This window comes from Homo sapiens, chromosome 20 (genome assembly GCF_000001405.40).
Source record: "Homo sapiens chromosome 20, GRCh38.p14 Primary Assembly".
In the NCBI taxonomy this organism is placed as follows: domain Eukaryota; kingdom Metazoa; phylum Chordata; class Mammalia; order Primates; family Hominidae; genus Homo; species Homo sapiens.
Window position 1 is genome coordinate 44,195,939 of NC_000020.11, and position 20,027 is coordinate 44,215,965.

Genomic DNA, 20,027 nt, shown 5'->3' on the forward strand with positions numbered 1-20,027 from the left:
TTTTAGTAAATAGTATAAATGTATTTTGTAATTTAAACAAAAGCTTCTGTTAACATTATTGCTAACATGGCTAGACACTGTCACTAAATTTGGTGGCTCTGCTCAGGATGGTCTGAACACATGCAACATTCTTTTTGGAGCCACCTGAAAAACAAGGATTCATCATCCAGCTGAAACCGAAGACAGATTTTTTTTTTACCAAACTGGAGGGAATTTTGAAATGGCTGACCAAATCTGTGGGATACAGAATGTACAAAATTCTCTTTTAGGGTTGCTGGGGTGACAGGGCAGCTCAAAGAGGTAACCATCTATAACATCTGAAACTGAGGTATGAGACCTGTATTACAACTGATAACAAAAAAAAAAAAAAAAAACCGCCATATATTTAAAATGCTGGAGATGGTGAAGACACACACTCGTTTCAAATATTACACCCCCTCCCTCCAACTGAAGCAGCCCATTCCAAGCTGCTTACTTGAAACTGCATGTAACATGTCTTAGGATGAATAGCACCAGCAGGGGCTTATTTAGTGATGGTTAATAACTCTCTCAAACAATAGAGGGCAGGCCAGCTAGTTTATTCAAATTGAATCTAAACCTTAGATCTCTGGCTTAACAATAACAAGAGAAACCTTTATAGACACAATATATCTTGCATTAAATCAGAGACGGTTTAAATCAGTCTTGTAACTTCTAATATTCTGGGCTGGCAACTACAGCATGACAAATGTTTAGTGCAGTTACAAAATCACATTTTACTTTCCTTGGCTAGCAAACCTTAAACAAATCTGAAAAATGCACTGTTTTACAAAGGCTTTTACCATATACCCACTGCTGCCAGTCTCAAGTAATTATGGTTTCTTCATCCCCCAGGAACATTTCTAAATAAGGGGGATTTTTCTTTGATCTGCTCGCCTTGAAGTGTATGTAAGAACTCAAGAGAGTAAGTTGAAAGAATGAAGATTAACTGAGATGCCAAGAAAAGTTTTTATTGCAAGCACAGTGAGCAGAAAGAGATGTCTTCTCACACAAAGTGGCCACAAGGTCTGCCATTAACTAAATCTCTTTGACAAGCCTTCATTGGTTTAAAGCATATGAATTAGCTTCTTGCTATCAGGTGTACATCATTTCTGCCATGTGGGACATTTTCTTGGGAATATACAAGTAATACTCCATGTAGCCTGACAGGTCCTCAATGGTCACATCATCCACGAAGACTCGAGCTTGCTCAGAACAGGATCGGGGAGAGCCAGACAGAGTTCTGGCGTGCAGCGACTGAGAGTAGTCCTCAAGTGTGGATCTTCGTTCTGGAGCCAAGGGAGGGACACTCTGCAGGCCTGAAAAGGAATACACTTCCATATCATGCCATCTCTTACACTGGCATTCCTTGCCTATGCATGTGCATGGCTTGCCCTGGTTTAGCTTGGAAACTGATTGAAAGTCAGAGAGATCACTGGCTTTGAGACTTGCTTGGGGGACTTGGGTAGCGTCAGAGGAGTCTTCCTTCTTACTCTCTGATGGGAGCCTTGGAACAGAAGTTCTCAAAGGCTCAACGACTGCCCCTGTGTGATTAGCATCGAGAGAAGTAGAGCTTTCTCCTGCACTGAACTCTTTAGGGGATGAAATTCCCAGCCCACTGCTGCCATCAGGTGAGTCAGTCTGGCTTTTGTGCTTGAGTTGACTGCTGGAAGAAGACGCTATTGTACTGCAATGTATAAACTTTGGAGGATGAAGGACAGGAGACTTAGAACGTCGACGACGCTGAGTTCTCACTGCTCCTCGTGAAGACTTCCTTGTAGACCTAAAGAGGAAAAAAAATATACAAGAAGATGTTGGGATATGGAGCTGTCCTAAACAGATTCTTTATGACAGTAGGAAATTTACCTTCCCTCAGCTTTATGAGTCTAAGCTCATAAATTTCCTGCAAGAGATGCACCTTCCTCCATTTTCATGCTGCCTAAGTCTTTGTGTCTCAACAACTTCAACATCATCTTATTAGCAAGCTATAGAACGAGGTGAGATAATGGTATTTTTTAACTGAATCACCTGGGCCAAACATTTGGGACAGAACACCTGCCCTGTTCCAACTCTAAGCTTGGGAGCCTTTGACCAGTGGGTCTGAGGGAAGCACCTCAAACATACAACTGAAACCGATCCTGTGAAGCCTAAATATTGTGCCCTAAACCTGAATATAGCAGCTTCAGAACCACTGTGAGGCTAACGTTACAAATGACCATTATGCCATTACTATTAAATAGATTTCTGATTCATTTCTATCATTGGTAACAGCCAATCAATCAAAACCAAAAAACTAACAATATTTACAACCCCTGAGGTTTTCAGATACTGGGAATTACTGGACACACTATGTAAGATAACTATTTATAAAATATTTAAATAGCCAGGCGCGGTGGCTCACGCCTGTAATCCCAGCACTTTGGGAGGCCGAGGCAGGTGGATCACGAGGTCAGGAGATTGAGACCATCCTGGCTAAAGCGGTGAAACCCCGTCTCTACTAAAAATACAAAAAATTAGCCGGGCGTGGTGGTGGGCGCCTGTAGTCCCAGATACTTGGGAGGCTGAGGCAGGAGAATGGCGTGAATCTGGGAGGCAGAGCTTGCAGTGAGCTGAGATCACGCCACTGTACTCCAGCCTGGGCAACAGAGCGAGACTCCGTCTCAAAAATAAATAAATAAATAAATAAAATAAAATAAAATTAAATAAAGAACTGAATGAAAAGAAAAGATACTCAAAACTGCTAAGTGAATTAGAGACAAGAACCAAACAAGACACTAAAAAGCTAAACAGAACACAGTAATCCCATCTTATCCATGGTTTCGCTTTCTACAGTTTCAGTTACCTGCAGTCAACCATGGTCTGAAAATATTAAATAAAAAATTCCAGAAATAAACAATTCATAAGTTTTACATTGCGCCCCACTGTGAGTGGCATGACAAAATCTTGCACCATCCTGCTCCGTCCCACCTGGGATGTGAATCATCCCTTCGTCCAGGGTATCCACACTGTATATGCTACCTACCCATTAGTCATTTAGTAGCCATCTTGGTTATTAGATCAACTACCATGGTACTGCAGTGCTTGTGTTCAAGTAACTCTTATTTTACTTAACAATGGCCCCACAGTATAACAGTAGTGATGCTAGCAGTTTGGGTATACCAAGAAAAGCCACGAAGTGCTTCTGCTGTGGTTAGAATGTGTCACCCAAAAGTTCATGTGTTGTCAACTTGGTCCCGAATGCATCAGTGCTGAGACCTTTGGGGGTGATTGGGTCACAAAAGGACTCTGCCTTCAAGAATGGATTAATCCATCCACAGATTAATGAATTAAAGGGTTATTGAGGGACAGGGATAGTTATCACAAGAACGGCTCTGTTATAAAAGCCGGTTTGGCTACTTCTCACGAGCCCCCTTGCCACGTGATATCCTTCCCCATGTTATGATGCAGCAATGATACACTCACTAGATGCTGGTGCCATGCTCTTACACTTCCCAGCCTCCCGAAATGTAAGAAATAAGTCTCTTTAAAAATTACCCAGTCTCAGGTATTCAGTTACAGCAACAGAAAATGAACTAAGACAGCTTTCTTTAAGTAAAAAGGTGAAAGTTCTTGACTTAATAAGGAAAGGAAAAAAATAAATCGTATACTGAGGTTGCTAAGATCTACGGTAAGAACGAATCTCCTATGTGAAAAATTGTGAAGAAGGAAAAACAAATTTGTGATAGACTTGCTGTTGCACTTCAAATGTGAAAGTTACAGCCACAGTGCATGTAAGTCCTTAGTTAAGATGGAAAAGGCATTAAATGTGTGGGTGGAAGACATGAACAAAAACGTGCTCTGACTGATGGCAAATGGGTTTGATATTGTCTGCAGTTTCAGGCGTCCACTGGGGTTCTTGGAACATATCCCCTATGGATAAGAGGGGACTTGTACACACAGCTAAAGAAAGAATGACTGACGGGAAAATAAATCTGAATTATTTGTAACAGGGGCCAGCAAATTACAGCCTGTGGGTCAGATCTGGCTCCCTGCCTGTTTTTGTACAGCTTGTGGACACTGCTCCAGTGGGCTAGCACTGTGAGCCACAGACCAGGCTAGGGGATCCTCCCCTGTCCCTATTCTCCCTGCCCGCCTTCCTGGCCAGTAGACAAGCTGCACCACTGTCCAGCGCCCGCACTAGCTAACATCTACATGTTGGGTCTCTACTGTTGGCAACTGCTGATCATTGAGAGGCAGAATCTCAGTTCAAGACTCCAACCAATGCTGGGATCTCTGGAGGAGAAAAGAGCATGCTGAGATCTGAGCCTCACTGGGACAGAAAGTAGAACTGACCCTGGCACTACCTGCTACCCACCCATTCCACAAGGTTCTCCTTTCAGGCTAGTCACTCTATCCTGCGACTGTCTCAGCAACTGAAGACAGAATGTGTCCACCAGCCAGGACGGCCAACCCCAGGCAAACAGGGTAGAGTAGGAGTTTTCTCTCTTATTTAAGCACTTATTAATATCCTTGAATTTTTGCTTCTTGGCCTCCAACGGCTAAAAAATTTACCATACGGTGCTTTACAAAAAAAGTTTGTCAACCTCTGACCTAAAAGGCAGTACAGAGACAAGGATTTGGAAAAAATGTAAAAGTTAAGAGAGATGACAGAGTAAGTCTGGAATTTCTGAAGAAACGAATACAGAGAACAGAGGACAAGTGATTTTTATAGACATAATGACCAAGAAATTTTCTGAATTGATAAGAGAATCTATGAACACAGGAAATACACTGGAGCAGGATAAAAAGAAATCCACATAAGAGACACTCTGTAGCAAAACTATAGAATAGCAAAGACAACAGGAAGATCTTAAAAGCAGCCAGAGACTAGAAAGATTATTTCCAAATTAATAACAATTGGATTGAAGGTATGCTTTTCAATACCAATGTAACGAAACCAGAAGACAATGAACTGTACCTAATTTAAGTGCTAAGAGAAAATAACTGTCAATCTAGAAATATAATGTCAACTATATCAACTCTATCTTTCAAAACCAAGGAAGAAATAAAGACATTTTCAGATAAATGAAAGCAAAGTACAGTCTTCTGTATCCACGGATTCTACACTTGTGGATTCAACCAGCAGCAGACTGAAAATACCCCTTCCACCAAGTTCCAAAAAGCAAACCTTGAATTTGCTGTGCTCTAAGCACTATGCTGAGTCTGTGTGAGTGAAGTGCTGTGTAAGCATTGTGGTAGGTATTATAAGTACTCTAGAGATGGTTTAAAGTATACAGGAGAATGAGCATAGGTTGTATGCAAACACTATACCATTCTGTCTAACAGACATAAGCATCCTCAGATTTTGGTATTGAGAGGGGCGTGTGAGTGGGGAGGACCTGGAATTGATCCCCCATGGATACAGATGATTGTTATTTACCAATAGGACCTGATGGTATTTAACATCGGGGGCCCTTTCAAATGTATTTATATGGAGTTATACAATGCAGAGGTCCTATTTACTAATAATAAACCTTCACTAAAGAAACTACTTTAGGAAAAAAGTAAGTGATTGTATATGGGAGGTCTGAGGTGAAAGCATGGTGAGGAAAGAAGATATAAGCAAACAGAAAAATCTAAATAAACACTGTCTGCTTAAATAATAATAAAACCTAGTCTGTGAGATTAAGTAACGACTAAAATATTGGGCAACTATATCATGGAAGTCAGGAGATCAGAGGAAAGGGTTTCTAAGGAGAAGGGCTAAATTACCATTAATTTTTGTCTTTGTTAAAAGCATGCATGGTAAAATCAAGGCTAACAACTACTGAAAGAATAGAAACAAAGTGTGCCATTTCCAAACCACTAGAGGAAAAGAACAAACAAAATCCTTGAAAACAATTGTGTTTAAACAATTGGAAAGGAAAGGAGGAGAGGTAAGGTGGGAAAAAAATAGAAAAAAGCAGGACAAATAAAGTAAAATGACAGAATCACTTCTGAAGATACCAATAATCAAATAAATGTAAATGCACTAAACTCAGCAGTTAAAAACAAACTGATCACATTGAATAAAACAGAAAAAAATAAAACCTAGTCATATGCTATTTATATGAAACACAGCTAAAATACAAGAACACAGAACGCTTGAAAGACTAGTAGGCTGGGTGTGGTGGCTCACACCTGTAATCCTAGCACTTTGGGAAGCCGAGGTGGGTGGATCACCTGAGGTCAGGGGTTTGAGACCAGCTTGGCCAACATGATGAAATTCTGTCTCTACTAAAAATACTAAAATTACCCGGGCATGGTGGCGGGCACCTGCGTAACCCCAGGTACCTGGGAGGCCAAGGCAGAACTGCTTAAACCGGGGAGGCGGAGGGTGCAGTGAGCTGAGATTGTGACACTGCACTCCAGTCTGTGTGACAGAGCAAGAACAAGATTCCATCTTAAGAAAAAAAAAAGAATAGAAAAAGACACACAAGCGAAACACTAACTAGAAGAAAACTTTAAGACAAAAGCCATTATGAGGGATTAAGAATGTCACTACATAATAAAAGTTTCAATTCACCAGAAAGAAAACATTCTAAACCTATGCTATATAAATCCAACAAAATAACCTCAAGATACATAAAGCAAAAACATAGAATTTAAAGGGAAAATAGACAAATACACTTCCATGGGGTAGATTTCAACATACATCTCTATTATTTGTAAGTCAAGTTGACCAAAAAATTGAAAAAAAGGTTCCAATAACACATTTAAAAGCCTGACTTAATGGACAGAGAACCCAAGAATAATTAGAGAAGTCCCAATCTTCTCAAACAGACATAGAATATTTGTAAAAATTGACTATGGACCAGGCCAAAAAAAAGTCTCAGCAAATTCAGCAAAAGAAGGAATAGGTCCTCATCTAATCATTGGGTCTTAGGTTCTATATCATAACCTAACTCTTTTCTGGACACTCAGAAAGGAAAATCCAATACTATTATAATATTGGAATAAAAATCATCTCAATAAGAAGCTCTTACCCGTGCCAACTGTCTTTAGATGCACATGTGGTTTTAGGTTTGGTATCATCTGTTGCTGTTCTGACTGGTGCTCTGACACCTGTGCCTTCTCCAACAGACAGAGATGCTACAGACCTGAAGACAAGAACAAAGTTTACAGCTACAAAAAACTGTAAAATGAGGAGAACATATTGTTCTCACTAGCTCAAATACAACTTTTATCAATACATTTTTTTTTCTAGTTTGGGTTTCTCAAAAATTGCTCAGCTTTTAATGTAAATTTTCCTTCAAAACCAAATCTAGAGTATCCCTAAAAGCCCATGGCTGCAAAATCATAAGCCAAAGAATGACTGGTAAGTGTACCCAGCAGCAGGATATAAATAGACTTTCAGGCTGTTTCCCTGGGGCAGATCAGGCCTTATGGCCAGAGAATGCTAATGACACTGACCATTTATCTTATGCGGGCAAACCAGAGTCATGGAACTAAACTTAGTTTAGGAGACTCCATCTAACTTAACACTGAATACATTTTCAAATATTATGCAACTTTTAGAAAAATATTCTAACTTTTGCAACAAATGAACTTGAAATATTACTCAGAGTTAAATCCTTGCGGTTTAAAATTATACAGATAATATGGGTTCCCAGTAAAGAACGTGAAAAAATCTAAAAGCAAGAAAAACAGAATCATCCATACCTCACAACCCAGAGACTACCAACATCAAACATTGGTGGAAATCCTTCCAGACTTTTTTCACACACACACACACACACACACACACACACACACACCCCTCCTACTATACATGCTATGGTGTTGACAAAAATTCTTTAGAAAGCGACATTAATCTACTAAAATGAAAGGATGTTCAACAAAACATAATTGAAAGTAAAAAGTAACTGGGAATAACCTAAATATCTAATAGAAAAAAAATACTGTATTTCTAAATTATGGCATATCTATATGGCAAAATGTTGGGAAATTATTAGAAATTAAGTGTACAAAGAACTTTTAATGATATGGGGGAATGCTTATAAGGAGAAAGCAGCATGGTTAAACACCTATACATATATTATGATCTCAACTATGTAAAATAAGTATAGGCTATCATGAACCAGTGGTCTAGATGTTAACAGTGGTTACGGTAAACTGTGATTTTTACTTCTGTTTTTATCCTGTTTTGTTTTTGTAAATTTTTCTATAATAAGCATGTATTATGTTACAATCAGATAAATAGGATATTGTTTTGTAATAAATATATAGAGATTTGTCCTAATAAGACAAATACCACTAAGGAAAACCTGTTGAACAGGATCATGCTAAATTCCTGGCAAGGCCTGGTTAGTTTATGAGTCAATCCTCAGATATCCCATTTGTAAACTGGCAACAATATAAAACAACTAGAATGTATGATACACTACTACACAAGTCTTATTCTGCTTAGTCATGCTAATGACTCACCCCTTCTCTTATTTCATTTTCTCAAATATTCTCCTTCCCTTCTTATAATTTTACTCAAGGCAGAATATATGCTACAAATATAATTTTACTCAAGGCAGAATACATGCTACAAATATATAATTTTTTTTCATTTCAGCTTTTACTTTAGATACAGGTGGTACATACACAGGATTGTTCATGGGTATACTGGACCCAGGTAGTGAACACAGTACCCTATAGGTAGGTTTTCCACCCACATTCCGCTCCTGCCCTCCCCACGCCAGTAGTCAGCGGTGTCTATTGTTCCCATGTCCACGTGTGTTCAATGTTTAGCCCCCACTTCTAAGTGAGAACATGCAGCATGTGGTTTTACAAATACATAATTTTTGACCATATATTTTGAAAAATTTTTAAATAATGTTCCAAGTAATTTTTAGGGATACCAAAATGGCTTAATTTTACTTTTTTTTTTTTTGAGACAGGGTCTCGCTCTGTTGCGCAGGCCGGAGTGCAGTGGCATGATCTCAGCTCACTCCAACGTCCAGCTCCCGGGCTCAAGTGATCCTCCTACCTCAGCCTACAGAGCAGCTGGGACTACAGGCACGCACCACCATGCCTAGCTAATTCTTTGTTTTTTTGCAGACGGGTTTCACCATGTTGCCGAGGCTGGTCTCAAACTCCTGAGCTCAAGTGATGTGCTCACCTTGGCCTCCCAAAGTGCTGGAATTACAAGCATGAGCCATCATGCCCGGCCTGGCTTTATTTTACATTTCAACTTCTTAAAACATCAGGAAAGAAGTCCGTGTATCAAGAGTTACTTATACAAAATTACACACTAAGAGATTTGTATGTATAATTGTGGGTACACATTCCTAGTATTTTCCTGATATAAAAAAATTATTCCTATATAAGAAATCACAAAGGATACACTGCAGCCACAATCTGGAACTCTCTGCTTCTCTGCTTTGCTTCTGTTTCCCAAGACAATTTATCAAAGTACTGATATGAACTGGCAAGTTGACCATATTAGAAAACCATCAGGAGGAAAGATATGTTTTTGAAGTAACATGGAAGCAAATATGAGCACCTATAACATCTACTGTGCAAATCTATCAGCATAAATCTTCTCATTTGATAGCCCAAAAATAGTACTAGCAATAGGCAGGTGGCTGTAACAACAACTAACATCTAGTTTTCACTTTGTGCTAGGTACTGCATGCATTTCTTCCTATCGCCTTCAAGGTACCACATAAAGGATGGTTAAGAGCAGAGGTTCTGGGCCAGACGCAGTGGCTCTCGCCTGTAATCCCAGCACTTTGGGAGGCCGAGGTGGGTGGATCACCAGGTCAGGAGATCAAGACCATCCTGGCTAACACAGTGAAACCCCGTCTCTACTAAAAATACAAAAAATCAGCCAGGTGTGGTTGTGGCCGCCTGTAGTCCCAGCTACTCGGGAGGCTGAGGCAGGAGAATGGCGTGAACCCGGGAGGCGGAGCTTGCAGTGAGCTGAGATTGCGCCACTGCACTCCAGCCTGGGCGACAGGGCCAGAATCCGTCTCAAAAAAAAAAAAAAAAAAAAAAAAGAGCAGAGGTTCTGGAGACAGGCTATCTAGGTTCAAATCCTGGCTCTGCAACGTCCTACCAATGTGACTTTTAGCAAGTAATTTAATTTGTGTGAGTCTCATCTGTAAACTGAAATGACAGTAGTACCCATGTCCTAAGGTGTAGTGAGAATTAAATAATGCGCACAAAGTACTTAACCCAGTGTTGAGGGCACAGGAAGTGAATAATAAACTTTAATGATGATGATTATTACTTGTGGGTGTTCTACTCTGAGCTTCCAGTGTTTAGTTTCCATTTATGAAAAGAAATTCTTATATCCATTAAAAATGTTGATTTATTTTGGCCTGGGAGAAAGAATTGGTGTGAGAAGAGTCTTACACAGAACATTTTGCAAAGGGTGAAATACTAACATTCAGAGAGCAGCTGGTATGCAGGTGCTCTAATTAGTTTGGCCAAAGGGTCCAAGGTTATTGATCTCAGTGACAGAACCCTCCTGAATAGAGGTTTCCATAGTGATAGACTGAGCAATCACAGACCATGAAATCTACAATGTCTTCATAGATTTCCACTGAGCCAACCCACTTTTAGTGAAAAATACTGTGATTCCCTTGAGATGTATGATAAAATCCCTAGTGGGACACCGCTTGATAATCTTTGATTAAAAAGAAGTGGGGGGGAAGCCCTCCTCAAAGTGAACGAAACCAAAACACCCAACCTGGGAGGGCAAATGAACTGCTACTTTTCAAATTTAACCAAAGGGTTTTCTTTTTAAACTAAAACAATACTGTGCAGAATCTGGAAGAATGTCGCACTATTAGCATTTATATCTTCTTTCAATAATGAGAAATATTAAAAGAGGAAGAGCTTTTTAGGGAAAAGGGACTATTTAAAATAAGTAAACAAATAATTCCAAATAATATATTACATATTTAATTACCCTGATGCATCCACTCTTAATTTTTTGAAAGCAGTCTGTAGACTCTCCTCCTCTCCATCCTTGGCTTCGGATTTCATTGTGCAAGTTTTTACACTACTTATCGATGTTCCTGTTTACACTAAAAAAGAAAATAAAGTGAGCAAAGTAAAAACAGGTGGGATCAAAAGTATACCTGTTACCATTACTGTTAGAAAAAAAAAGCAAATTTTTATTTCAAAAAGGAAGTTTCAGTGTAGATAACTGGAGACTATAGGTTTTATTTCTTAAAGGGAAACAAATGAAATGATACCAAAAATGGATATGTACTATGACAGAATATAAACTGTTCACATACTTGATGCCAAAATCCTATTACACAATTTTGGAAACTAGATGATCTAAAATCTATGTTTCAGTATACATACTTTTTAACGGGAATCTCCCCAGTTGGTCTAGAAACCTATGAACAAAATGACATCAGAAATAAAAGGGAATAGCTAAAATTATAGCACTCTGATTCTTTAAAATGACACTGAGTATTTGTCTGGCCTAACCCTAGTTAAGTATAACTTTCATGACACATGATAGCATTTCTCTAGAGCAGTCCTGACCCAGACAGCTATGTTCACAGGAAGACACGTTTTAGAGAACAAGACGTTACCACTGTGAAAGCAGAATTAGAAATGCACTCTACCAGTAAGGTTGATACTTCCATTTGTGTTTTTCTTCATAGCCTGGAATAGTGTAATTAATTGTTAAACAAGAAAGAAAATAAATGAACTATACACTTGCAACCCCCTAAAAACTTCATTGTGCACATGAGTGGAAAAAGAAAAGAAAACAAACAAACTTCTCTTTAGCCTAAAGAAAGGTTGAAAGTAAAGAAAAAAAACAGAAATGACTATTGTGTAGACGCACCACTAAATGATCTCTTAACTAGTTTGATTAATCAAAGTCCTCCATATTTTCCACCTGATTTTTATATTTAAACAGAGAAAGGTAGATGAAGAACCAACCAAAGCAACAAGAAACACAACAGAGAAGTCTGTTAATAAACCCTTGAATCTAGTCTCCAAATTATTTTTTCACTCAGGGTTATTAGTACCAAATTTTGAATACAAATTAAGCAAACCAGCATCTATGAACATATCAGAGAGAATCAGAAGAAAAGTACCACAAAAAAAATAGAAATAGAGAATATTTGAAGCAAAAGGTTCACTTCACCTCTTTATTTCTAAGCCTTTACCCGCCCCCCCCCGCCCCCACCCCTCTTGGGCATTCTCAGAGGGAGCAGTGCCTCTCCAACGGCCCTTGGGTCCTCTCTGATTCATATCTGCTCGTTTCTCAAGGTGGCTCCGAAGTTATTGTGAGACCTCTAATATTCCAAAGGTCAAGGTGTCATAATGTTTGATATAAAGTAACCATTATATTATTGTAGTACCAGCGCAAAATAAAGAGGCAAGGAATCAGGACTTTTCACTTTACTTATTTGCGGAAGTTAAGGTATTTTAGGCAGAGCTCTCTGGGGAACACTGAAAACAGTCTCAAAAGAATTCAGCTACTAAAAAAAAAAAAAAAAATTCAGCCAGCCTGCACCTCAACTTCTTAGGACAAAAAAATAATTTAGATACATTCTCGACGTATATTTTGCTGGTTTATTTAAGTACATAAACATGAAGAAACATTATCCACACAATCCCATGCTTCACTAGTCTCTAATTCTCAGTTTAGGGTAGGATCCCCCAAATACACAATCAATTCCTATATACCTGGGGGGAGAGGTGAGCAATCACTTATTTCAATATTTTCAAAGCTTCACATCATCTAAAAGAGTACTATTGCAGGTTGTAAACAAATCCTTCCTGCTGGTAGAACTAAATTGAAGTTTGACTTACAATGTTCCTCAATTACCTTATGATCCGTTAGTCAATGTTCAGCTCTTACCGAGTTCATAAATCATCTGAGCCAATCTCCCCAACCCGCAGACCGCCCCCCAAGTCCTCTTTAGCCCTCTCTGGAAATCAGTCAGCATTTACGTACACATCACATTTAAGTATACACTGCTGAACCCTACAGGCAGAAATTCATTTCTTTCACAAATATTTACAGAATTCCTACCACGTGCATGGCACTAGAATGAATGCTAGGGATAGAAGCCCAAACTCCATTTCCGTAAGGACTAGAATCTCATTCCTGCCCTCCAAGAGCTTACAATGTAACACTGTGCTAAGAGGCTCTGAACCTACATATGTAACTTTTAATTATACCATGCTGACTTAATAGCATGGCAGGTGATCACCCTAGATGTTAATACAAACTTTACATTCCTGTTGACACACTAAAAGATCTATCATCTAAAAACCAAAACAGGCCAGAATTAAAATCTGGCTACAGACTAAAACTTCAGGAATGAAGTTCTGTCTAAACCATTTTCAGACTTCCAGCATTTTTTTACTACTCACTTTTTTTCTCAGTTATTTTAGCCAAGAGCAAATGAGCGTTAGGCATAACCTTAAGAGCTAGAGAAGAGCATGTTTGTAATTATAAAAGGCTCATTATGCTCCTCTGCATCCCCAGATCCCCATTCAAAGAAAGGGCTGTACAACTAACTCCGGACAACAGATATAATTGGCTTGCCTTTCTTCATTAATATTAAATTTGTGGGAGACAGTCTTGGCGTTTTCACTGCAGTGAACTCGTGAAGTTGAACAATCTCCAAAGAGATGAAACTTTAAAAAGCCTATTCGAAGTTAAAGTCAAATCACACCAGGCAATTTAACTTTGCCTCGGATTTTCCACAACCTTACAAAAATTACAAAGTTCTTCTAAGTTCCTCCATCAAAAGGCCAAATTCCTGGTTTTTTCTTTCAACAAAATGGATGCGTCACAATCTTATTTACATCTTGCCGTTTTAACCAAGACCTCCTTGAATCCCAAGCCTAGGTCTACACTTCCAGGCCCCTGAGAAGACCTAAGAACGATCAAGAAGGGATGCGCGGGTAAGCGTTGTCATCACAACATTAAAGATTTCGAAACTCCCAGACCACCAGAAAGCGTAGAGTATGGGGAAGAAAACCAAACCCAGCAACTCTAAGAGGCAAACTAGACCGGGAGGAAACAATCGGCCCCCAGGACAAAAAGCACATTCACACCTCTCCGTGCAACCCACTCATCCCTTTATACTCGCAGCGCTGCAGCCAAAGCACAAAGTTCTTTCTTTTCACCCAGAGTCTGTGCCTGTCGCGGTTAAACATGAACGGAGGAAAATTCCTAGTCAGAACCCAGAGGGGTAGGACGGGGCTTGGAGTGTGGGGACAACGCCAAGCAGGGAGCTGTCCAGGGGCACTGCCCGCCCGGGGTCTCCAGCTGTGAAGTTGCGCTCCTCGGGAGATTCCTGGGGTCAGAACGAGAGGCTGGAGTCGGAGCGAGGCACAAGGGATGCGGGAGAAGAAAGGAGTGGGGCCGAAGAGGTAGCCAAAGAGAATGGGGCTCCGAGGCGAGAGAGAAAGGACTGGAAGGGGCAAAGGGCGGCCAAGGAGGGCGAAAAGGGGAAGCTGCCGCTGGGCGGGAGACGGCGGAGGAGCGAGACGGGGCGGGGGACCGCGGGAGGACGGGAAGGCGGGAAGGGGAGAGAGCGTGGAGCTCGGAGCTCCAGCAGGCACAGGCCGCGGCAGATAAGGGGGCGCGGAGAGGCCCAGGCCCGGCCCAGGCAGGAGGCGTCGGGAGACGACGCGACCCAAGGCGGGCGGGCCCGGGGAAAACCGCCCGCGGCCAGACCGGCAGTGGAAGCTGAGACGCAGTGCTGCGGCCCCTCCCCGTCACGTCAGGGCACTTACCTCCTCGCAGCTGGGACGCTCCGGTGATGCGGGGCAGTCAGTTCAGAGCGTCTCTCCCAAATCTCGGCACCCGACTGACCCGGATCCAAACCAGCCAAGGGGGCGGCCCGCGCCTCGGGAGTCGCGTTGCGCCTGCGCACTCCGGCATGCACCCCTCCCCCTGCTTATGCTCCTCCCACCCCAGTGACTCGGCAGCGCGGCAGCCGACGACTGCGCAGACGCAGGGCGGCGGCCGCGCCTCTCCAACGCCCCGCACCCGCCCCCCTCAGAAGCACGTGCGCCTTACGTAATTTCCTGTTATTCTTCGGTTTGCCTCCTCCCAGTGGCGTGGATTTGCTCCCGACCCGCTTTTGGGGCGTGCCTGCTTCCTCCTCTCTGTTAGGTGAGTGAGTAGGCGTCATTCTTCACAGTAGTCCTCTGCCTCCACCGCCCCGGGATCTCCTTGCGCTCGGTCCTCTACGTGGAGTCACCTATGCAGAGGAATTCCACGGGGCGGGGGCGAGGACAGGGTGCGGGGGTCTTTATGGCAGACAATCCCCGGCTGAGCGCTTGGCCAGAGTTTCTGTGATGCTAGAATCTGGACTGCCTGCGACCTCTCCGGGACTCGGACACCAGCCCTCGCCTCCTGGTGATCTTTTAGGTCCTGCAGAGAAGTGAAGAGGTATTGGACGTGGCCAGGGTCAATAGTGTGAAGCCAGAATTAGAATTGAATTGAAATGCCTTCGGTTTTGATATCTCTGCTGTTTGTCTTGAGGCAACTGCTTTTCCTCCTTTGGGCCTCTCAGTTTTCCATCTAGTAAGTGAGGAAGTTGAACCTTATCGGTGAATCTCGTGTTTTCAGGCGTAGACTCCTTTGAGAATCTGGTGAGAACTGTAGATCCTCTTGCCAAAGAAATGCACCTACACACCAAATTTTGCAAAAAGATTTAGGCAGTTCACCAAAGGAGATGAATTTTAGGATTCTTTACATTTTTCTGATTCTGAATGTTGCTCAGATGGTAGGCGGGAAAAGGTGATCTGTGCAACAGCTGCCACCCGCTCCATCACCAGGACTGGTTCTGCTGATCTAGCTGTGCCTCTCCTCGCCTGCCAATCTCCAGCTCCACGTCTGCACTGCTCAAAGCTTCGTGAGAACAGATGATTTTGCGCAATTGAGTTGGATGGCGTTGATTGTGGCCCACCCCTAGAGTGAGGGTTTTTCCCTGAACCAAAACTGGCCCCATCCACCGTCATTCCCCAATACCTTAGTTGTAGTCAACTAGATAGGCTGCCGAAGATGGTTTAACTGTGTCCAGCTTAACTACAGCCAGGCTTTGGAATGCCTGGCCTATGTCTGTAAATGAAATCTAACAATTTATTGTATAACGTTGTTAAACATGAAGCATGATGTTGGCCCTGGATAAAACATTTTAAATTCTCGTCGTTCATACCAGAGGCTCAGTAACTGACCGGTTGAAAGAAAACTGTTCATTGTAACCTAATGATGCTAGTTAGATAGCATTAGATTATGTTAGAGATCAGATAACTTGTTCTAGCTGCCTTTGTCCTGTCTCACAGTGCTAGTAAGTCAGGATTTAAACTGCCCTTCTCAACATCTCTTGGACAAGAAAAAGCGGGAAATATGATGTATTTATTTTCTCAGACCTTGCCAAGTGAAATGTATCAAAACCAAACATGTCTTTTTAAGCTGCCACTTCAAAATATAACTTAAGATAAAATCTCATATATCCTTGAGAAGGCCTGGCACGGTAGCTCATGCCTATAATCCCAGCACTTTGGGAGGCCGAGGCGGGTGGATCACTTGAGGTCAGGAGTTTGAGACCAGCCTGGCCAACATGGCGAAACCCTTTCTCTACTAAAAATATGAAAAATTGGCTGGGCATGGTGGCGCATGCACCTATAATCCCAGCTACCCGGGAGGCTGAGGCAGGAGAATCTCTGAAGCCGGGAGGCGGAGGTTGCAGTGAGCCGAGATTGCGCCACTGCACTCCAGCCTGGGCCAACAGAGCAAAACTGTCTCAAAAAAAAAAAAAAAATCTCATATATCCTTGAGGGGAAAGAATTGTCTGGATCGTGATTGAATTCCCAGGGCTTAGCACACTTCCTGGGGATTAGTAGATGCTCAATACAGTTTTGGTGAATTCTCATTTTACCTGCTTTCCATCCCTAATTATATTAAATACCAAAAACTAAAAAGTTACAGTATTTCATTTTATGTAAGCACATCTCCATCATAAAGAGTTAGATGCTTTCCAAGAATGTGACTCATTACTCGGGGAGTACTTGGAAGGTGGGAACCTCTTGTGAATGCTGAAGCCTGTTAACTCACACACCTGACGTGGCCTGAAGTTTTAAGTCATTATACATAGGACTGGCTCACGGTGTGATACATCATGACTTGGAAAGAGATAGAAAAGCTACAAAATGGGATGGATCTGAGTGAACAAAAAGCCAGATCGGTGTCCTATACCAGCAATTCCAAGTCTTTTTAACCATGGGAAAAAAACCTGAATTTGTGTGTGGACTTTATATTGAAGAAATCAACTTTGTATTAATGCACATGGTAATGCCATTTAATTAAAAAGCTGTGGTAGATGTAAAATTCCTCTAACAGTGCTTCTTTCTTGCTACAAGTGTCTTGTACATGCTTTAGTAAGAGAGACTTAATTCCATGAATTTATACTGCAAGAACAATTTATATAGGAAGATAATAGTTTCTCTTAAAAAATAACTTTGGAGAAGCCAAGTCCAAAGTAATAAAGAAAATTATTTGCCTAACCATGTGGCTGCCATCCTACCAGTTGGTAATCTGGAAAATATTCTGTTCTTATGTTTTAAGACTCAAATTAATTTATTTCTTACCTCGATATACTTTTTTAAATGACTTAGGGTAGGCCAGGCGTGGTGGCTCACGCCTGTAATCCCAACACTTTGGGAGGCTGAGGCAGGTGGATCACCTGAAGTCAAGAGTTCGAGACCAGCCTGGCTAACATGGTGAAACCCCATCTCTACTGAAAAATAAATAAATAAATATACAAAAATTAGCTGGGAGTGGTGGGCACACACCTGTAATCCTAGCTACTTGGAGGCTGAGGCATGAGAAGCCCTTGAACCCAGGAGGTGGAGGTTGCAGTGAGCTGAGATCATGCCACGGCACTCCAGCCTGGGCTACAGAGCAAGACCTTGTCTCAAAAAAAAAAATAAAATTAAATTAAAATGACTTTGGGATAGAAGATAGTGATAATGATTATTTGTCTTGATTTACAAGATGTTAGCTCATGTAATCTTCATAACCAATTTGTGAAATGTACTTCTATGATGTCTGTTTTACAGCTGAGGAAACTAGGCTCAGAATAGTTAGATAACTTGTCCAAGGTTACATAGTTTGTAAGTGGTAGAACGGGGATTCCAATCTAGGCAGTCTGACTATAGCACCCTGCTGACCGCTGAGTTACACTGCTTTCCTTAGCCTCCCCACCTTCACCTCCTGTATGTACCCAGCTAGACCAGGGATACCTGCTTTCACCTGGAAAATACCACTGGGTTTGAGGAAATTGGCTGCCCAGGGCCTAGGACTGTTCCAGCCACTCTTTCTTTGCATATATTTGAACCCAGCAGGCATATTTCCCTCTCAGGTCTTTTGTATGTATTTCCCCTCCTGGAGCATTGTTTACTCACAGTTCATCTTGTCATTCAAAGTCTCTGCTCATATCAGCTCCCCAGGGGGGTCTTCCTTGGCTTCCCCAGCACCCCCTTCACTGTGTATCCCTTTACCCTGCTTTATCATAGCACTTGTCACTACCTGACAATGTATAGTTATTTTTTGGTCCCCTCACTAGAATAGAAGCTACCCGAGGACAGGGACTTTGTGTCTTTTTTTTAGTCACTATTTTTTTTAATCAAAGATGCACATTTTCCCACAATTTATTAATAGCGGTTAGAAAATCTGAATGTGTCTTATAATCGCCAGTGTGTCCTGGTTTAATTGGTAGTATTTTTTTCTTTCTTACTTGTTCCTACAGTAAGTGGTGAGTCTTTAAAATGATGGTGTCTTAGAATTGATGAAAATACAGTGTATCCCCAAGGCCTGAACTCTATGTGGCACATAGTTGGCTCTCAATAATTACTTGTTAAAGGAAGGCATTGAGTGTTGTGTGCCAGAAACTATTGAAACCTTTTTTTTTTTTTTGAGATCTCGCTCTGTCACCCAGGCTGGAGTGAAATGGCACAATCTTGGCTCACTGTAACCTCCGCCCCCAGGTTCGACTGATTCTCGTGCCTCAGCCTCCTCAGTAGCTGGGATTACAGGTGAGCACCACCATGCTCTGCTAATTTTTGTATTTTTAGTAGCAATTTATATCATTCCAGCAGACTCTTAGAAAGTAGATGGGGAGGGTGGGGAATGTAAGAGAGACCAGTTAGAAGACACTCGAAATAATCTGAGGGAAGACCAGAATGGGAACCATGGCTGAAGGATGGTGAGACCAGCAGGGCTCGGCAGCCTGCTGAGCAGATGTCTGGCCTGAGCCGTGCCAGTAGGTGGCCCCCTTCACTAAGGAAGGGAATCCAAGAAGACTAGGTTTGGGGAGTGTGAGACGGTTTGGTTTTGAACATAAAAGTTTCAAGTGCAGATGAAAGGAGGAATCAGGTCCCAAAGGCTGCAGCAAGGGACTTATCCTGAGGTTTCTCCTTCTGAGAACTGTAGGAGCTATGGAAAGAAATGACCAAATTTATTTTAGAAAGATGACTGGTTTCAGCGTGAGCCGGCATGGTGATCCAGGCCTGAGATGATGGTGATCGAAGGGGCAGGTGGCCCTAAGTATGGAGAACAAGTGAGCCGATTGGAAAGTTGCGTAGATCAGGCCTTGGGGAGAGATTGACTACGAACAGGATGGGCAGTGAGAGAAAGCTGACAATGATACTTTGCTTTCCAGTTTGAGCAACTGAATGGATATTGGTGCCCATCTCAATTAAACTCTGTTGAACCCAGCTGACAGTGAGCAGAGGAAGAACATTTAAATGGAGAATCATAGTAACAGCTAATACTTTCTTTTATTTCTTTCCTTTTCTTTTCTTTTTTTTGAGACAGAGTCTTGCTCTGTTGCCCAGGCTGGGGTGCAGTGGTGCAATCTTGGCTCACTGCAACCTCTGCTTCCCTAATTCAAGTGATTCTCCTGCCTTAGTCACCCACGTGTGCCACCATGCCTGGCTAATTTTTGTTTGTTTGTTTGTTTGTGGAGACAGCGTTTTGCCATGTTGGCCAGGCTGCT

General features: G+C 41.8%; 1 protein-coding gene and 1 long non-coding RNA gene across 11 annotated transcripts in view, besides 6 other annotated features; one reads left to right on the forward strand and one right to left on the reverse strand.

The window, feature by feature from the left end:
- On the reverse strand, nt 1–15,872 carry OSER1 (oxidative stress responsive serine rich 1). 8 transcript variants are annotated; one of them, XM_047440192.1, is made up of 6 exons: nt 14,074–14,833; nt 11,616–11,655; nt 11,347–11,381; nt 10,943–11,060; nt 7,023–7,136; nt 1–1,801 (listed from the first exon to the last, which is right to left on the reverse strand). In XM_047440192.1, exons 4-6 carry the CDS (start codon nt 11,017–11,019, stop codon nt 1,114–1,116), a joined length of 879 nt encoding a protein of 292 aa, XP_047296148.1. In that variant the 5' UTR covers nt 11,020–11,060; nt 11,347–11,381; nt 11,616–11,655; nt 14,074–14,833; the 3' UTR covers nt 1–1,113. The 8 variants fall into 8 exon arrangements, with proteins under 8 accessions (XP_047296148.1, XP_047296147.1, XP_047296146.1 ...); XM_047440191.1 differs by lacking the exon at nt 11,616–11,655; XM_047440190.1 differs by lacking the exon at nt 11,347–11,381.
- Nucleotides 7,792–8,991: an enhancer, noted in NCBI's record as "MED14-independent group 3 enhancer chr20:42832370-42833569 (GRCh37/hg19 assembly coordinates)". NCBI's record gives its function as "activates an origin of replication core promoter dependent on BRD2, BRD4, P300/CBP and CDK7 cofactors, and independent of MED14, by STARR-seq in HCT116 cells {active_cell/tissue: HCT116}" and the evidence as "EXISTENCE:reporter gene assay evidence [ECO:0000049][PMID:35650434]".
- Nucleotides 14,243–14,862: an enhancer, noted in NCBI's record as "NANOG-H3K27ac-H3K4me1 hESC enhancer chr20:42838821-42839440 (GRCh37/hg19 assembly coordinates)". NCBI's record gives its function as "activates a minimal SCP1, AML or CMV promoter by ChIP-STARR-seq in naive H9 embryonic stem cells {active_cell/tissue: H9 hESC(naive)}" and the evidence as "EXISTENCE:reporter gene assay evidence [ECO:0000049][PMID:30033119]".
- Nucleotides 14,243–15,235: a biological region, named in NCBI's record as "NANOG-H3K27ac-H3K4me1 hESC enhancer GRCh37_chr20:42838821-42839440".
- Nucleotides 14,522–14,591: a silencer, noted in NCBI's record as "silent region_12939". NCBI's record gives its function as "represses an Ori minimal core promoter by ATAC-STARR-seq in GM12878 lymphoblastoid cells {active_cell/tissue: GM12878}" and the evidence as "EXISTENCE:reporter gene assay evidence [ECO:0000049][PMID:35858748]".
- Nucleotides 14,787–15,235: a silencer, noted in NCBI's record as "fragment chr20:42839365-42839813 (GRCh37/hg19 assembly coordinates)". NCBI's record gives its function as "represses an EF-1alpha promoter that drives an FKBP-Casp9 reporter gene in an ReSE screen in K562 erythroleukemia cells {active_cell/tissue: K562}" and the evidence as "EXISTENCE:reporter gene assay evidence [ECO:0000049][PMID:32094911]".
- Nucleotides 15,022–20,027, forward strand: part of OSER1-DT (OSER1 divergent transcript) — a 15,068-nt gene continuing 10,062 nt past the window's right edge. Inside the window, exons 1-2 of one of the 3 annotated variants that reach the window (NR_038339.2) lie at nt 15,022–15,139; nt 18,950–19,065. This is a non-coding gene — a long non-coding RNA (OSER1 divergent transcript). The other 2 variants (NR_038338.2, NR_038337.2) reach the window with 2 other exon arrangements.
- Nucleotides 19,283–19,372: a silencer, noted in NCBI's record as "silent region_12940". NCBI's record gives its function as "represses an Ori minimal core promoter by ATAC-STARR-seq in GM12878 lymphoblastoid cells {active_cell/tissue: GM12878}" and the evidence as "EXISTENCE:reporter gene assay evidence [ECO:0000049][PMID:35858748]".

Coding starts and splice junctions, on each gene's coding strand:
- OSER1 (XM_017027873.2), bottom strand. CDS start 11,019: ATGAAATCCGAAGCCAAGGATGGAGAGGAGGAGAGTCTACAGACTGCT. Junction 7,137..10,942: donor TTAAGAGTGGATGCATCAGG/GTAATTAAATAT, acceptor TCTTGTCTTCAG/GTCTGTAGCATCTCTGTCTG. Junction 1,802..7,022: donor TCTAAAGACAGTTGGCACGG/GTAAGAGCTTCT, acceptor TTTCCTCTTTAG/GTCTACAAGGAAGTCTTCAC.